At 36.7% G+C, this 18874-nt stretch overlaps 1 long non-coding RNA gene across 3 annotated transcripts in view; it reads left to right on the top strand.

Moving 5' to 3' along the window:
• LOC105374510 (uncharacterized) overlaps window positions 1-18874 on the top strand; it is a 428164-nt gene that overhangs the window by 93482 nt on the left and 315808 nt on the right. Inside the window, exon 1 of one of the 3 annotated variants that reach the window (XR_925445.3) lies at window positions 15513-15944. The exons of the other annotated variants lie outside the window; for them this stretch is intronic. This is a non-coding gene — a long non-coding RNA (uncharacterized LOC105374510). Of the gene's footprint in view, window positions 1-15512; window positions 15945-18874 lie in introns of those variants that run through there. 3 annotated transcript variants of the gene reach the window in all.

Here is an 18874-nt window from a genome sequence, read left to right on the forward strand (position 1 = left end):
ATGTTTCAGATGATGCCCCTAAATAACTTGAAAAAAAAGAAGAATTTTCTGCTTTTATTTTAGTTATAGGGGGTAGCTGTGTAGGTTTGTTACATGGGTATATTGTACTCAAGTTGTAAGCATAATTCTCAAGAGTTAATTTTTCAACCCATGCTTTTCTCCCTCTCTCACCCCTCTAGCAGTACACAGTGTCTATTATTCCCATGTTTTTGTCCATGTGTGTTCAATGGTTAGTTGCTGCTTATCAATGAGAACATGAAATATTTGGTTTTCTGTTCCTACATTATTTCACTTAGGGTTACAGCCTCCAGCTCCATTCATGTTGCTGCAAAGAACATGAATTTATTCCTTTTTATGGCTGAGTAATATTCCATGGTGTATATGTACTACATTTTCTTTCTTCAGTCCACTGTTGATGGGCACCTAGGTTGATTCCATGTCTTTGCCATTGTGAATAGCATGACAATGAACATAAAAGTACATGTGTCTTTTTGGTATAATGATCTATTTTCTTTTATGTATATACCCAGTAATGGGATTGCTGGGCTGAATTCTAGCTCTGTTTCAAATTCTTTGAGAAATCTCCAAACTGCTTTCCACAGTGGTTGAACTAATTTACATTCCCAGCAACAGTGTATAAGCATTCCCTTTTCTCTGCAGCCTCACTAGTATCTGTTATTTTTTGACTTTTTGATAATAGCCAATTCTGACTGGTGTGAGATGGTATCTCATTGTGGTTTTGATTTGCATTTCTCTAATGATTAGTGATGTTGAGCACTTTTTCACATTTTTTGGCTACTTACATCATATTTCTTCTCTCCCACTGAATCACTCAGCTTTGTGCAAGTCTACCCTCTCTGTTCCCCAGTTTTTTAAATTTGAGAATTGGGAATGATAATAGAACCTATCTCATAGGGTTGTTATGAATTTCAAGTGGGTTAAATCTAGTAAAGAGCTCAGAAAAGTGCATGGTATATAGTAATCCAGCAGGAAGTGTGAGCTACACATGTCTGTAGCTGTGAAAAATGCTGTGTATATGAGACCAAATAAAAGGTTCGTCTTCTTAGTTTACTTATAGTCCAATGTTGTGCTGGTAGTGCAGATCTCTTGGATATCATAGAGCATAAGAGTTATTTCAGAAGTTCATGAAAAATATGTATGTTATTTTTTTTGAAAACACTTGCTCATGACTGGGCGCAGTGGCTCACATCTGTAATCCCAGCATTTTGGGAGGCTGAGGAGGGTGGATCACCTGAGGTCAGGAGTTTGAGAACAGCCTGGCCAAATGGTGAAACCCCATCTCTACTAAAAATACAAAAAAGTAGCCGGGCATTGTGGTGGGTGCCTGTAATCCTAGCTACTCGGAAGGTGGGAGGCAGGAGAATCACTTGAACCCGGGAGGTGGAGGTTGCAATGAGCTGAGATTGCGCCATTGCACTCCAGCCTGGGCAACAAGGGCGAAACTCCGTCAAAAAAAAAAAAAAAAAAAAAAAAAAGAAGAAGAAAAGAAAAAGAAAACTCTTGCTTAATACGATTGGAAGGGGGCGTAGGAAACATTATTGTTGTAACAAGCACTCCAGGTGGTCAGAAGGCCACTGGGGAGAAGCAGTCATTTAGTCACCCATGGATTAAAGTTCAACTCTTTAACACTGGGTGCTCACTTTTTGTGTGTGTATATTTCCATTTCTGTGTGCAACGTGGTTAGTAGTGGCAGCTTAAGGCCCCAATATATCAACTGGAAAAAGTCCAAAATAATTTTAATTAAAAAAACTTTAAAAACATCAAGAGCAGAGAAAGAATCAAGGAACAAATGAGCCACAATTCCAGAGAGAGATAATTATTTCAATGTGAGATGACACGTGTTTCCCTTGGAGCATTTTCTGATTCTGGATGTGTGAGGAGGACCAGGCTTGGCCAGACAGAGAGGCTTTGTTAGGGGAAAGAGAAGCTAGTTGAGCTTTAGTGTCAGGTAGGGACCTGGGACATCCACTGAATTGTGGGGCTGTGTGGACAGCTAGGGGAATGGAGGATGAAGGCAAGGCCAAAATCATGTAAAGGCAGAATAAATTTTTTTTACAATATTGCCATATTTAGGAGGGATCTTACTCCAATTACAAATTATATAATTGGTCTCCCCCTTAGGAAGCTTGGTGAGAAAGGTTAAAGCTCTAAAGAGCAGAATTATTTCTTCTACACAGATTTTTAGGGCTAGGAAGAAAGGTGGAGCTAGAGCGAGAAAGAGAGAATTATCCAAAATATTAAAAATATACTTCATATACACTCAGAAATATTAAAAGTAAAATGATAAAAATAAGATGGAGCATGCAAACACTAGCTGAAGAAAGCTAGTATAGCTATAAAAATTTTAAAGTAAACTACAGGTAAGAATCACTATTAGAAATAAAAATATTTCCAAATGGAAGAGAAGTCAATTCCATAGTATATTGGCATCAAATATCTGTGTTCATCAATAATATGGCTTTAAAATATATGAAGCAAAAATTAATAGAACTAAAAGAACAACTAGAGAAGTACACAGTCATACCTGAGATTTTAACACATTTTTCTCAATAGTTGATTTTTTAAAAATAATAATAAATCCACATCCTACTTTGCATCCAGTTTTTAAGCATAGAATTATGTGCTACAAAGTCATTTGGCTCCTTGTAGAATACTTTTTATGATGAGACACTCACTACTTTTTTGAGGTAATCAAATCCATTTCAAGAGCACTCTAATCTAACTTGTGACTCAGATTTTATTAGGTAGTGATTCCTAGAAATGGAAGTACAACAATAATATATGTCCTCTCTAAGAACATTCAGCAAGTTAGTGTTTGATCTGGGTCATGAATCCTGGTCTCAAGACTCATAATTCAATTAAATATTCTCTAAATGAATTTTAAATATTATCTGACTGGATTAAATACTCCCTGAGGGTAGGAACTTTCTTTTGCCCTTTTTGCAATACATACCTTTAGAGTCCTCATATATTACTGAACACTTCAGTGGGGGTGGAGAGTGGTTTTGGTGGGGAAAGATGAAACAGATAAGAAAAATCACTGCTTTTATATCCAGTTGGGGTCAAAGTACTCCTGACTGTGTGCCCCCTAGAAACCCACCCAAACTCTCAGAGCCTCACTTTTCTCAATTTTTATGTAAAGTTGAAAAGCTATGCCATTCGAAGAGCCTATATGGCACAGGGGCTTAATATATATTAAATACATAGTTCCTGATAAATATTTACTGTTTGAGAGGCATAAGAAAAGTTACCAATAATTATGAAATAAAAAGACTGTAAAACCTTTTAATGAGGAAGATTGTACAAGCATATGTATCAGTCCAAAGTAGACAAATGGTAAATTCATCATGTTATTTGTTAAAAAACAGCACCAGTTTTACATAGCAGTCCATTATAAAACACAACACACTTTTTGTCTAAATGGGTTTTAGGCAGACTTTCATTTTTTTTAATGCTGTAAAATTCTTCTCTTATTCAAAGTTTAAAATGGCTCCCTATGAGACCATTAATAAATATTTCTCTCTGTTAGAGTGATTTTTTTAAGCTCTTCTTGTCCAGAAAGCAGAGACCAACATGATAATAAGTGAGAGCACAAGCGTATTTTCTCTTTAAGATATCTCTGGTCATAGGACAGGCTCATTAATGTTGTCATAGCAACCATTCCCTCACAGGTTACATGCTTGTGAGCTTCTACTAAGATGCAAATTCTCGATTAAACAAAGCAAGCTTACTCTGAAATGGCATGTCAACTTTCAAGGGGGAGTAGAGTGCTCTGATGATTTTATTTTTTCCATATGCAATATACTATTTAAAGAGCTGACTTCTTTGTTTTCCCCTATATGTTAACTCTTATTTTGTCCAAAATGCATTTTGCCCAAAAATAGGAAGAAGATAGATTAAAATGGGATCTCAATAGAAGCTCTCCTTTCACATTTATTTGCCTCCTGATACCACCTGTCACATCATCCCTTGATAAGCCAGTGCAGATAAAAATGTTCATAAGTCAGTCTAAAACATATTTAACATGAACTCGCCCTTGAAGCCTTCTTTTCGTCTCAGATCTACCCTTCTTTGATTGTTCAACTTGTGTCTACACCCATTACAATGCCATTATGAGAATTATAGTCCAGAAATCAAGGAAGTTTCAGTGAGAAAGCCAGGCTCAACTCAATACCTTGAAGTTGGATGTGGAGGTTGATCCTCTCCCCTCCAATCTACACACCTTGACCTTGACCCATAGAGGATGCTGCTGTCATTTCCCTTCCCCATAGAACTAATGAGGTCAAAGGATGGAAACTAGGGCATTTGATGAATAATTTGTGTGATTGTTGAAGTTTCAAAAGCTGCAGATAGAAGTGGGGGCAGGTATTAAGATAATAAAGCAGATGCTAAAGTCAACAATAAATTAAGGAGAGTGGCTAGGGTATTGAAAGAGCACAAAGAAGGGTAATAAGTGTAAAAATAGGAACATATGCTTCAAAGGAGCTGGGCTTTTGGAGAAGGAAGGTAGGAGAGACAGTTATAATGGGGCAATGAGAAGTAACACAAATATTTCCCCCATACATAGCCCACCTTTAAAATGGCTGCTAAGAGATCATCATGGTAGTAAGTGATTATGGATGATCGAGGGTGCTTTGTCTTCTGATGGAGAGTGAGGTGACAGGTATGTATGTTATGTTGCTTGGAGATATCAAGTGAAACTCACCTGAGGCTAAATGTGTTTTGGTAGCCTGGAACATGCAGTCATTGAACTTCTGAGGGTGCATGTTCTTGCCTGATGGTGGGGTACACATGCTATTATGAGAAACCCTATATTTTGGAGGTTTATAAAGTTTTTCTCCTTGTATGTATTATCTATTACCAGAATCCTGAAGTGAATGAGTGATGAATGGTAAGACTTGGCATCCTGTATTCAAATTATTCTTAGTAATGTGACCATAGGTCATTGTTAGGATCTTTAGGGAATATACCATTATAATCTAGAGTGAGAGATAAAACTACAATTGACTGCCGTGCACATATTTGCAATAACCAAATATTGTCTCATTTGATGAAAAAACTAAAGAGAATTAAACGTCCCAGGACTCTCACTCCTGTATGAGTATCCTTCCTCTTTTTAATAGAGTTTCAGCCAACAGAGGACTAGACTGGAAATTGAGAGATCTAGACTTAAGACTTATAGGAACTCCTAATTAACTAAATGAGTGACCTTTGGCGGGGGGAACCTCTCTGTGCCTTAGTTTCTCCATGTTTCTCCATCTATACTACAGAGATAATGTATACTGATCCTTTTTCCTATAAATGTGGAGAGTCAAGTATTGATGCAGATGAGAGTGCTTTAGAAATAAATTACTTTTTATAAATGTTATATCTATTTTCTATCTTGGAGATAGGATGAGCACTGCAAGTAAGATCAAGTTTGGTCTATGCACTTCGTAAACAAATTCCATCAGCATCATATTTAGAATAGTGTCCTGACATAGTGATGGGTTGTAAGGTATTGTTTTGGAGGCATTTGTCTGGTGGCTAACATTTCTAAGAGATGGCTATATTTTAAGTCACAAGATGAGCCCATAGAACAACACTGCCATTTCCAAGTCTGGGTTAATCATTTAATTTCTCTGGACATCTAGACCTTCATTTGTATGTAAAGTAGAGATTTTGATATGTGCTCTGCCTCTTTTGTGGGAATACTGTGAAAATCAAATATAATGCATATTAAAGTCTTTTGTTAACCATGGAAAGAAACCATTTCTAGTGGAATTTGATGAGGTCCATAAGTAGAATGCATGATTTATTGTTTTTATAACCTTAGTGACTAGTAGCATGTTACACAGCAGGAATTCAAGAAAAGCTTGTAAAAATAAATTGTGATTCTGACTTTGCATTTGAGTCCCTCTTCTTTCTCTGTTTCCATATGAGCTTAGCTCCAAGACCAATCATGAAATCTATAGTGTGGGTTCCATTCTGTTCCTGGGCCCTGTGATTCCCAGAGCTATGCTTCACTTCTCTTCCCTCTCGTTCCTCACCCCACCCTGCCACCCACCTAGTTCAGGGTGAAGTCTGAAGTCTTTATCCCAGTGTTATTTTTTAAATATCCCAAATGATTACTGCATCACTGAAAAGATCTGCTGTGACCCACCTATCACATTACAAATGCGTAATACTGAAAAGGCTGGCAAGAGATGGGACTAATGTGCGGGCTTAGATTGTGTTATTTTAAATCGGTTTTAAAACATACTTTTTGTTAAATATTATTCCAAAAGTGGTTTGTTTTAGATGAGATAATGATGTGGAGATATATTTTTTGAAGTTTTAATATCTTTAATATTTATATGTTTCTAATTGATAGACATTTTTCTTACAAAAATCAATAACAAATACAATACCAACAAGCAGATTTTGTTTACAAGTGGTTGAAGGACAGTGCTATTTTGAGCTCACTTGGGCAAAGAAGGGACAGAGAGGCAAACATCAGCAGGTGAATAATGGGCAGAAAATGATTTTTTTTCACATGACAAGACTTAAGTCTTTACAGGAGCAAATGTCAGTTACCTGGAGAATGGAGGCCATGGTTACATATGGGAACATGGGAAAAGCAACATCTGTGAGGCAGGGCAGCTATGAGAGATGCAGCCAATGACCTGGAAATAAGGTTTGGCTACAGTTCAGTCATCCATGGGTTTAAATAGTGTTCTTAGGCAACTGTGCTTGTCTACAAAGGAACCTCTTAGAAGATCTTGCTTTTGCTTCATTTGGTGTGCCTTGCATAGCCAACTTAGAGACCCTCTTGGTTTGACCCTTACCCAACATAAGGCCATAATTCATTTTGGGTGGAAGACTCCTCTTTCCTTTGATAAGTGATTGAAATAAGACAGTCATGGGAGTTTATATTTATGTTATATTGGCGCATTCTTTGTTAGCATTCTTCTTCCATCTCTCTTTTCATCCCTTCTTTTTTAGCTTTCACTGCTTCTTCCTCATCTACCTTCTCTTCCTTTTCCTTCTTTTCCTCCTCCCCCCTTGCCTCTTCTCTTCTTCTTCTCCCTCCTCTTTTTCCTTTTACTCATCCTCCTCTTCCTCTTTTCAGAGTAAAGAGGCAACAGAAAAGTTCAAAGGAGTGAGAGGCAATAGAAAAACCTCATCATAATTTTCCGGGTAAATATATGACATATGGCTCTGATATGGAAAAACACTGGCAAGTGAACAAAGTAATGTAAAAGGCCATGATAGGAAATTGCTCTGAAGCCCTAGGGAATGAAAATGAAAGCAGAATTAGGCACAACAATTTAATGAAAGATTATGTAGAAGGTTAGAGCTCTAAATCTTCCAAAGATCATTAAGATTTTTTAAAGAAAAAAGTAACAACAATCTCTATTCCAGTTAAAATATTTTTAGCTAAAAAGATATTACTCAATTGGCTTAAATAAAGGAACATGTTACTTTACACAAAAGGAAGTCCCAACATAAAATAGTGTCAAATCAAAATTGCACTAGCCAGAGTTAAACAGGCAAGGAAGACTTTTTTCAACACTATTGCAATAGGAAAGAGAGAAAGAACTCAACTCCACTGAAACAAAGGGCTGGAGGGCTTTTAAACTCTGGGTTGAGCTCATGGAAAAGTACTGAAATACATTGGAGGGGAAGTTGGTCAGTGTGATTAGGCTATCTGAGTTCACTAATTGTCCCTTATTGTAGTTAGGCTCCTACTCTCCCACAGAAACTGGGAGATAGGGGTATTACATTTTTAATTATTATATTTCAAAGGGATGGTGCCTAGGTCCTTGAAAAAAAAATCCTGTATTATAAAACTGTCCTGAGGCTGGGAGAAAATTTACATCACAAAGGGCAGAGAAATAATTTACAATTGCAAGTTTTCTAAAGTAAATCTAAGAAAAGAACTCAGGGACCTACAGTCAAGAAGAAACAAACTTGAAGTTTAGTAAAACTCTGGGGAATGCCCAGGCTGTCTTGGTCAATAGTTTTGGGGCTGATTTAATTCAGAGTGGTAACCTTAAAGAAGCAGGGTGATTTTATCTTTGCTCAAATTCACTTGAGAAAATAAAGAGAAGAGTCATTCAATGCTGATATAACTGAAAGTCAAGGGTAATTGGCTTTGGGCATTGTTGGACCTAGGTGTTTGAGTTTCATCAGAAATCTGTTTCTGTATCTTTTGCTTATCTTTTTATTCACTTTTATTTTAGTTCATTCTCAGACAGGCTTTTCTTTCCTTATGTCAAGATTCTCATTATTAATTCTAGAATTACATCCTTTCCATCTTGCATAACTTCAGAAAGAGTGTCTCATTCTCAATAATTTTAACAAAAATCTCATATGATTTACACTGTTCAGCTTGGACTATGTGTCCGACTCTCAATCCATCTCTTAGCCAGGGGAATAGAAAATATTCGTTTTCTCAGTCTGGGCATTTTATGTGCCTTAAGCTGGAAGATGAGTTCTTTCTTAACCAGAATGAGTAATTTTCAAAGGGAAAATCATCATGCTGTAGCAGGAAAGGGCAAAATGCATGTCGGGGAGGCTAAAACAATAGATTATCGAGTCAGGGTTTCTTTCATTCCTCTTCCTAATTCTCTTCAGGGAATAAGCAGAATAGGGCTCTGCTGAAGGTAGGAAATGAAATTGCAGAACCTAGGGCCATATAACCAGCATGGTTCCATTATTATTGACAGATAATGTTCCTGAAAGATAAATTACTGGGATTGCATAATCAGATGTATATTGCAGTTTCTTCTATACTAGGATGGCATCATCAGACCAACTTGATGACTCTAGCATAATTAGTCTCCTTCCCTCACCTTTGTTAAGGTTTCATAGTCCTCAAGTATTTCTGTGCTGATATACTTGGTTCCATGTTGACTTTTCTGGAAGAGAGAGATTGTGACCTATCCCTTGCTGTCCCTTCTCAGAGATTCCTACCTGGCTCTTGCCCACCAGTTTAGCTGCCTGCATTTAGTATTGAGAGTAACTCTCGTTAGGGCTCTCTACCTTGATTTGAAAATTCTCTCCTCATGACCCTTTGACTTTTCATGTTTGGCTTTTTACCTGTACTCCTTCTTTTTGCGTTACCCCAGATTGACAACTTTCTTTTTTTTTAAATTTTATTATTATTATACTTTAAGTTTTAGGGTACATGTGCACAATGTGCGGGTTAGTTACATATGTATACATGTGTCATGCTGGTGTGCTGCACCCATTAACTCGTCATTTAGCATTAGGTATATCTCCTAAAGCTATCCCTCCCCACTTGCCCCACCCCACAACAGTCCCCAGAGTGTGATGTTCCCCTTCCTGTGTCCATGTGTTCTCATTGTTCAATTCCCACCTATGAGTGAGAATATGCGGTGTTTGGTTTTTTATTCTTGCGATAGTTTACTGAGAATGATGATTTCCAATTTCATCCATGTCCTTACAAAGGACATGAACTCATCATTTTTATGGCTGCATAGTATTCCATGGTGTATATGTGCCACATTTTATTGGATGGACTATTCACGTCTAATCTTGTACAGTCCAAGACACTGCTTCTCAACTCTTACCTTGGTCCTTTGTACTGCAATTTACAGGCAAATCTATAGTACATTGTAATCAGCCCATTAGATCATTACTTCTCAACTGGGTCTCAGTGTCCCTGGATTTTTATTTTCTGAGAATTAAAATGAGACAGAATGCAATAGGGAGATGAAATTAGTTTCCTAATTGTATGATAATATATTTCTCATTTTTAAGCCATAAGTTGGATTTCCACTTCATATATCACTTTTTTCTGTTGAGTTTGGTTGGTGTAATCACTCTCGGTTCATTGACAGAGAGAAGTGTCTTGACAAAGGCAGTATCACTTTTGAACTGAACCCATTTTAATTCCAGTGCAGTCTCCCCAAACTGCATGGCCGTGGGAAAATTACTCACCATCTCTGGACTTTGGTTTTCTCACCTAACAGCAAATGATGAAGGCTACTTCTCAATGTTGTGGGGATTACTGAGGCAATTCAATGCATAGCATACTCAATAAATACTCTTCTTATGGTTGTATATTGTATTTTAAGAGAGTCTGAGAAAAGTTTAGGCTCAGATTCTGAAGTGTGGTGACAGCACCAAGATAATTTCACTGTCTAAGACTCTGCTTGAGTAGGCTTCTTCTCCTTCAAAACTTCCCAGGCATATTGGTATGCTACAAAAGGATGACAGATGTTCTTTCAATTCTCATTTGCCTCCAGGCAGTTGAGCAGAATCTCAGGGTTGTTGAAATTCCCTAGGTGGTTCCCTGGCATCATTCAAAAACAGCCTTACCTGTTTACTCTATTGTACCATACAAATATTTTTATGTATTATATGTGTCATGATGTGAAATAGTTTGGAAAGCAATACTGTACATTATTTCTCTTTAGATGCAACAATCCTATATGTGAAATGTATGGCACATAAAGTAAATATGGGAAAATGAATGCTGAAGTCCAGAAGGCTTAGTAAATTGGTGAAAATTGATCTGATTCTTGAAGAACAAGCAGTATTCAACATACTGTGAAAGAGTAGAAGCAGAAAATTTTAAAGTGAAGTTGAGGAACAGATATATTTATTGGCTGTGCTTGTTGGGGTACTTAACACTAGCTGACATGGTGGCTTGATTGTGTGTGTGTGTGTGTGTGTGTGTGTTTGTGTGTTTCCATTCATACTACATATAATGTAAGGTAGACCCTGGAAGTGGTGGCTCACACGTGTAATATCAGCACTTTGGGAGGCTAAGACAGGTGGATCACTTGAGGTCAGGAGTTTAAGACCAGCCTGGCCAACATGGTGAAACCCTGTATCTACTAAAAATACAAAAATTAGCCTAGTGTTGTGGCTTGTGTCTGTAATTCTAGCTACTCTGAGGCTGAGGTGGGAGAATTGCTTGCAGGTGGAGGTTGCAGTGAGCTGAGATGGTGCCACTGCACTCCAGCCTGGGTGACAGAGTGAGACTCTGTCAAAAACAAACAAACAAACAACCAAAAAACAAAAAAAAAAAAACAAAAAAACAGTAAGGCAGTAAGGTAGAGAACCGCCCTCCATCTTGTTGTAGATTTGCCATTTGGAAACACATGATTTCCAAGTTTGCATAGGCAGTGCAGAGAAGTTAAGAGGATTTAAGAGAAATTGTAAAGAGCCAGGCCTGTCTTATGTCATATCTCCCATACCCCATTGGCCACAATCCATTTCTACCACCTCAATCTAATTGCAGAGGAGATTTGGGAAACATAGACTTCCTATGTGACTAGGAATATAAAATGTTGTGTTAAACACATAATATAGTCTGTGCCATAAGAATTTTCAGAATCACCTATATGGAAATCCTAATTATCAGCAAGGGTTGATTAAGAAGCAAGGTATCATGAGACAGAGAATGCGCTGGGGAGTCTCAATGCCAGAGCCATAAATCAATACAGCCTAAGGTGTCCGTCATCACTAAAGAGTATAAAAGATGAGAATCCGCATGTCAGCTTGTCAAGGTGAAGATGGAGACACTTGACAGTCTTGATTGGCTCCCCCTACCTGTTCTGCCTCTGTTGGTCAGCTGTCACCTCTATTTAGCCCCATCATATTTATGCACTTAGTAAAAGTAGTAGGGGCTGGTGTCATAGAAATGTTGGAGGCTTCCTCAGGAAAGTATCAGGGGTTCTTGGACAAACTTTATGGAGAGTGCTTATAACAGTCAAAGGAGAGAAGGCTGCAAGAGTTGCTACTATCTTGATTGTGAAAGGACAAACTGTATGTTAGGCTAAAGGGGACCATCTTCATTCTTAGATTGTGAAGATTCACTGAAAAAAAAAATTGAGCAGTGTTGTCATCTTGTTTATCAAACTATGCCTTTGTTAGATGAATCTGGCTTTTCCTGATGCCACTGCAAGCTATGCTTGTTGTAGCCCAAGTTGGCCACTGAAAACAAGCTTAAGATGTCTCTTTTCTGTGACTCCATTGTACTGAAAAATTTTTGGTGCTAATATCTGTTTTATGTTTTCCTCATCTACCCTAATGAGCTTATCCTGGACTAGGACTAGTCTGATTTGTTTTTCTATCACCAGTGTTTTGCGTACTGTCTCATAGCAGCACGTTTAGGGAGCACAAGTTCTCAAAAGCTATTTATTTATAAAGCCACCTTTCCCATTCTCCTCAACAAACCAATCTGGATAATTGTCAGTTCAACTCTTCTGTGAAATGGATATTCCTGAACCTGAGCCCTAAAAGAAGCTAAGTAGCCTCTGAATCATCAAAGAGATTCAATTATACTCAATCTATATTTTAATGGCTTATATGTTGATTATATACAATTATTTGAAACTTGTTCCTCTGTATATGAGGATATTCTACTAAGTAGGGCATACTGTTTTTAAACTATCATTATCTCTTCATGTTGATTTAAATAATCTGTTTGAGTGGGTGAGAAAGCCACAGGGAAACCAAATAATTCTCAATAGTTTTATGCATATTTACAAACAAAAATGAAGTATGGAGACTGACCATACAGTGTTTTTTCTGAGAGTAAGCTAAGCCTTAGAGGATTTCAGTGAGATACGGAAAGGAAATAAAATGTTTTGAACACCTGCAATACTCTGGGAAATATGCTAGGCATTTTACATCTGTTTTCCCTTTTAATTCTTCTAACAACCTGCAGGATTGATATCAGTATCCCCATTTTACAGATGAAGAAATTAAAGCTCAGAGAAACTAGGTCTGTTGTCCAAGGCAAACATCCAGGAAATGATCTGTAGGACTCTGAAGTTTGCAAACCAACATTTTATGTGGCAAAAGCAGATCTGAGTCTTGAGTATGGTTAAGACAATACCTTTTGTAAATATCTGAAACTTACTTATCCATAATTCAGTAGCCGTTTTTCTACCCTCCCTTCTTCCTTTCCTTCTGATTCTTCTGCACTGATCTAATTAATTGGCATTGCCCGAGTCTGCCCCTTAGGGATTTACCTCACCTTGAATGGCCTGTATGGAAAGCACCTCTCAGCAGGAAAAGATCAACTTAAAAACGTTTCTGTGGCAACCATTGACTCCCAAAGACTGCTCCTCCTTTGACCATATATCTGAAAGCCAGAAAATAGATTACTTTTTAAAGTTTCATTTTACAGCAAAGTCTACTTACCAGTGATGAACAGCTAATATTTTAAAAAATATAGTCAGTTATGTAACCTCTGCTGATTGTTGCCAGTGGAAATCAAGGAGCTTAGAGCTATCCTCTTCCCTCAATCCTTAGCTCCTCTGCCAATAGAATTTTTTTTCAAACGCCAATAGAATTGGAGTTTGGGGAAGCTTAGGTGAATTGAATTTGCAGGGCAGGATCCTTGAGAAAAGTGAGCTTAGTGAAGAGAGTTCCCAAAATCTGCACAGAAGTCTTCTTTAGTCTTTAAGTGACAGTTTGTGCATGTATTAGATACAATTTCAGAAATATGCACATAAAACAATTTCTGGGAAAAGAAAAATTACCTAAGAGCTGTAAATTCAATAATTCCCAGGTTTACACAGGAATGGGATCTTGTGACCTTTTACATCCAGAAGGAAGAGAACTTGTAAAATACAGGGGACAATTATTAGGAATCGTAGAACAGTAAGGTCTTAGTATTTCTACTGAATTCCACCTATAGGAAAATCTGCCACAGACTAGACCTAAGATAACTTGAAAACGATGCTTAACAGGAACAAACTATTGAGCAAATAAATGAATTGCTTGCTGTAACAAAGTCTAAAAGTCTGTCAAATACTACATCAAAATAGAGCACTCTATTATGTAAAAGTCACAATATCTGACATCCAATCAAAAACTGCTCGACCTAGTGAAGGAGCAAGAAATTGTGACCCACAATCAGGAAGAAGAAGACTGTAAAGAAAGGTTCATAAAGAACAGAGATGGAACTGTTAAAAAACAAAGATCTTAAAATAATGTTTATAGGAATTTTAAAGGAACATGAACCTAGAGAGGAAAGACATGGAAGAAGAAATATTTTTAAAATGAATGAAGCTTCGACAGATGAAAAATAACCTCTGAAGTAAAATTTTCACTGAATGCATTAAAATAGATCGGACATTTCAGAAGAAAAGATCAGTGGACTTGAAAGAAAGCAACAAACACTATCCAAAATGAAGAACATAGAAAAAAAATTAAAAAAAAAGCTTACGATCTGCAAACAAAATTAGTTCTCTAACACACGTCCTCTGTAGCTAGAGCCCCAGTATCTAAATTTTTCTGTGACTCTAAAACTGTCCTGAAAAATAAAAAGTCTACTTAAAAAGAATAAAATGATGGAATAAAATATTTTGTGATAACATTTATCAGAAAGTTGGAATGGCAACATTAATATCAGACACAGTAGACTTCTGGGTACCAACTATTGCCAGAGATAAAGAATGACATTTTATAATAATAAAAAAGATGAATTCATTATGATGACATAATCAACCTAAATTTGCATGAACTTTATAACAGATATTCAAAATACAATGGAGCAAAATTTTGACATAATTGAAAGGAGAAATAGAAAAATTGAGAAATATAGTTAAAAATTTCAACACTCCTTTTTCACTAACTGATATAACAATAGTCAGAAAATCAATAGAAATATAGAAGAAATTATAAACCAACTTAATCTAACTGATATTTGTAGACGTTTCCACCCATCAAGTGAAGAATACAAATTATTTTATTTACCAAGATAGACCATATTTTGTGTCATAAAACATGTATCATTACCTTTGAAAGGACTGAAATCATACCAGCTGTGTACTCTGACACACCAGGAATTGACTCAGAAATCAGCAACAGAAAAATATCTGGAAACCCTCCCCCCACAACATAGCTGGAAATTTAAACAATACATATTTCTAAATAACCCATCTGTCAAAGAAAAAAATCACAAGATAAATAAAAAACTATTTTAATGGAAATAAAATACACTAAATTGTGGGATGCAGGATCTTAGTGTGCTTGGGCTGCCATGATAAAATACAATGGACTGGGTGTCTTAAACAACAGAGGTTAGTTTCTCACAGCTCTGGAGGCTGGGAAGCCCCAGACTAAGACCAAAGTGCTGGCTGGTGTGGATCTGACTGAGGGCTTTCTTCCTGGTTTGTAGAGGCAAGTAAGGGAGCAAGAGAGGAGGGGCGATCTCTCTTCCTCTTCTTATAAGGCCACCCATTCCATCATAAGGACTGCACCTTCATGACCTTATCTAACTCTAATATTTCTCAAAACACCTCTCCAAATACCATCATGTTGTGAATTGAGACTGGAATATATGAATTTTGGGGTGTACACACTTATTTCTTAACATGCAGCCAAAACATTGCTTAGTTCTCCCCTCTCAAAAAAAAAGTTATTGAGAAATTTTTCATCATCCCATAATAAAACTCTGTTCCCACTAAATAAAAATACCCCATTTCCTTTCTCCGTAGACCCTGGTAACTGCTGCTCTGCTTTCTGTCTCTAATAATTTGAGGATTCTAGGTACCTCATATAAGTAGAATCTTATAATATTTGTCCTGTTGCATCTGGCTTATTTTATTTAGCATAATGTCTTCAAAGTTCATCTATATTATATCAGAGTTTTATTCCTTCTTAAGGCTGAATAATATCCCATTGTATTCACATACCAAATTTTGTTTATCTGCTTATCCATTGGTGGAAATTTAGGTTGTGTCCATTTTTTGGCTATTGCGAATAATCTTGCGATGAACATTAATGTGTAAATGTCTGTTTGAGACCCTGATTTCAATTTTTGGGGTATATACTCCAAAATGAAACTGATGGATCATAGGGTAATTCTATACTTAATTTTTTTTAGGAACTGCCATACTTTTTTACACAGCAGCTGCACCATTTTACATTCCCACCAGCAATGCACAACGGTTCTGATTTCTCTATGTCTTGTGAGTATGTATTATTATCTGTTCTTTTGATAATAGCCATTCTAATGGGTATAAAGTCGTATCTCATTGTGGTTTTGATTTGAGTTTTTCTAATGGTTATTGATGTTGAGCATCTTTTCATGTGCTTCTTGGCCATTTGCATATCTTCTTTGGAGAAGTATCTATTCAAGTATTTTGTCCATTTAAAGTTTTTTTAATGCTTAGATTAGATACAAAGAAAGGTTTATAATTAGTACTCTTAGGTGGCATTAAGAAGCTAGAAAAGAAAGCAAAGTATACCCAAAATAAGTATAAGGAGATAAATAATCAAAATAAAGGTATAAATCAATGAATTAAAAAACCAGAAAAATAGAGAAAATTGATTAAACCTCCGATCAATTAATAAGTCTTATTGTTCCCTATCTCCCAAATACATCTTAAGCCTGCCAGCCTTCCAAATTTGTTCATCTTGGTAATTCCAGTGGCTGGCATAGTACCTTGTTAATAATGTGTGTTCAATAATTACTTGACCAATTAATTCACATATTTTTTTTCACAAATTAAAAATGGTAAGATAAGACAAACACATAGAAACAACACAGAAAAATGCAAAGAAGTGCAGTGGAAAAGGAACAACATTTAGAATCAGAAAATTCACTGTGTAATTATGTTGCTCTACACAAGTTCGTGTGGCTTTCTGATCCGCATCTGTAAAATAAATATGATTCAAATAACAAATATTAATGTTTGGGATCTCCGTTCAACATAAATTAAAAATGGTTTCATTAATCCAGATTTTGGGGTTAAACTTGGTTCAGCTCAGAGCAGTCCTGCTCTATTGTCTCTCAGAATTGTGCAATGTCTGCATGGGTACCTCTTCATGTGCTGTCTAAAAATTCACCTTCTCTTGTGTTACCTTCTTTGAACTGTCATTCCAGCTTAAGTCACAAGACACAAGCTCCTTGAGGTCAAGTACAAAAACTTTCTCTCCGTCTTCCTTGAAACTGACAAGTTCCTGGCATAGTAAATCATTGTTGAATTAGAAGGATTAGAAGAGTGTGAAAGCTATCAGAGCCTAGAGAAAATTATAATTGCTAATACTTTATTTCTGAAAAAAAAGTAACGTAGGATCAACTGCTCAATAGTTCTGTTTCTTCATGTAACACTTGTTACTTGAAATACCAAGGATGAAGTTAAGTACTTGATTCTATGCAGCCTTTTCCCATGATCTCCTTAATACCGGACTCCAAATTGTTTTCAAACTATTTGTCAGATCTCCTTTCTTTCCTATAAGCATTAAAGAGGTTTTCTCTCTGGCACATACTTAGCACGTAGTGCTCTCTTCACCAAGCAAGACTTGTGGAATTTGTCCATGCTTTCAAAGCAAATACAGTGAGCAGAAAAAGGAAAACTAGACTTGACTGAAAACTAGCACGAGTTAGAAAACTATGAAACTGGGAGTTTCTTATTTTCCAATCAAGTCAGAATAGTTCATCTGTTACAGTAAATTTCTCCCTCCTCTTTGCTGTCCAAATCACGTCCATCCTCTTCAGCCCCACTCTAATCACACTTCCCTGTGTAATCAGACTCTTACCTACTGCCCTCTGCTTTATCTGAATTTCTGCAGCATTTATAAATAATATCACAAATCTAGTACCTGTTTAAAATCTGTTCCGCAAAAATAATTATATCTGAACTGCATTACACTTTTGAAATGCTTTTACTTTTAATTTCTTTGGTGTTTGCAATTATTTGGAGAGTTAGGTATTAGTGTTTATGCAACCATTTTAAAGATCAGAGGCAGAGAGAGCCTTGGGGACTTACATGAGGCTGTGTATCATGATGTTAGGATTCCAAGCCTATCCAGTGACCTTACCCAATGGTCCTGCATTGTTTCTCTGTGCTTGCCTTGGCTTCCCCATCTCCAGCCTTAGCACGTCATGTCGTCCCAGCAAAGCCTAGTAGAGCACTAGGCACAAAGCCTCGTGCTTACTTATCCTTTGTCCACTGCAGGGTACATGTTCATGTAAAATTTCTATTTGTTGTAAAACATCATATTTTTGCTCTTTTGTTATATTAAATGTTCATTGCTTCAGATTTTAACTAGCTTCTCCGGTACTTGTTTGTAACGGGATCTAGAATAACAGAATACAGAAAAAATAAGCTATGAAGAAACTTGAGATCATATAAGCCACCACCTTCTTTTCCGGTACAACATCAATTCCTCTTGGTGAAAACAGACCTACCAACCTAGCTGAGAAATGAATTCCATATGGTTCTGATGATCGTAGGCCCTTCTTCTTTTCTATTCACCACACATAGAGCCGGAGACATGACTCAGGAATGGAACAACACCCAAAGCCCCAGTCAAAACTATTGGTCTAGCCATGGGCACGTGCTTGAAGAAAAGGCAGAATTCTCCCTGGGATGTACATATACACATATATGTATTTTGCCAAACCTTTGGAAGAGGATACATTTCCCCTGGCAGAGTATCAGTTCTGATTATGTATTTCTATTACATTCATTACTTGGAGAGAGTGTACTTGAGAGAAATGGAACCCCAACTACATTGTTTGAGTCTTTTATCCTAGCCATACCTAACCTTAGCACTAAATTTGATCGTTTCTATTGAGTAATAGTTCTTTAATGTTGAAACTAGTTCAAGTCATATTTTTGTTACTTGACAATTGGGAGTAGAGACTAATGCACTTGTCACTACAGAAGAGAAAACTCATGTTGGAAATAACTTATTGAAAGTCATAAATCTAGTTAGTGACAGGATCTGAAAAGAAATAACCCAGATCACTTTAATTATAGTAAAATATTTTTTCTAGCTTACCAAATTTCAGTACGTGAGGTTTTCATTTTCTGGGTTTATAATTTACAACATCACTGCCTCTTTATTATAAGAGTGCACAAATATTCTTATTGCAACATTTTTTAATTTC

Source organism: Homo sapiens, chromosome 4, assembly GCF_000001405.40.
Source record: "Homo sapiens chromosome 4, GRCh38.p14 Primary Assembly".
Taxonomy (NCBI): Eukaryota; Metazoa; Chordata; class Mammalia; order Primates; family Hominidae; genus Homo; species Homo sapiens.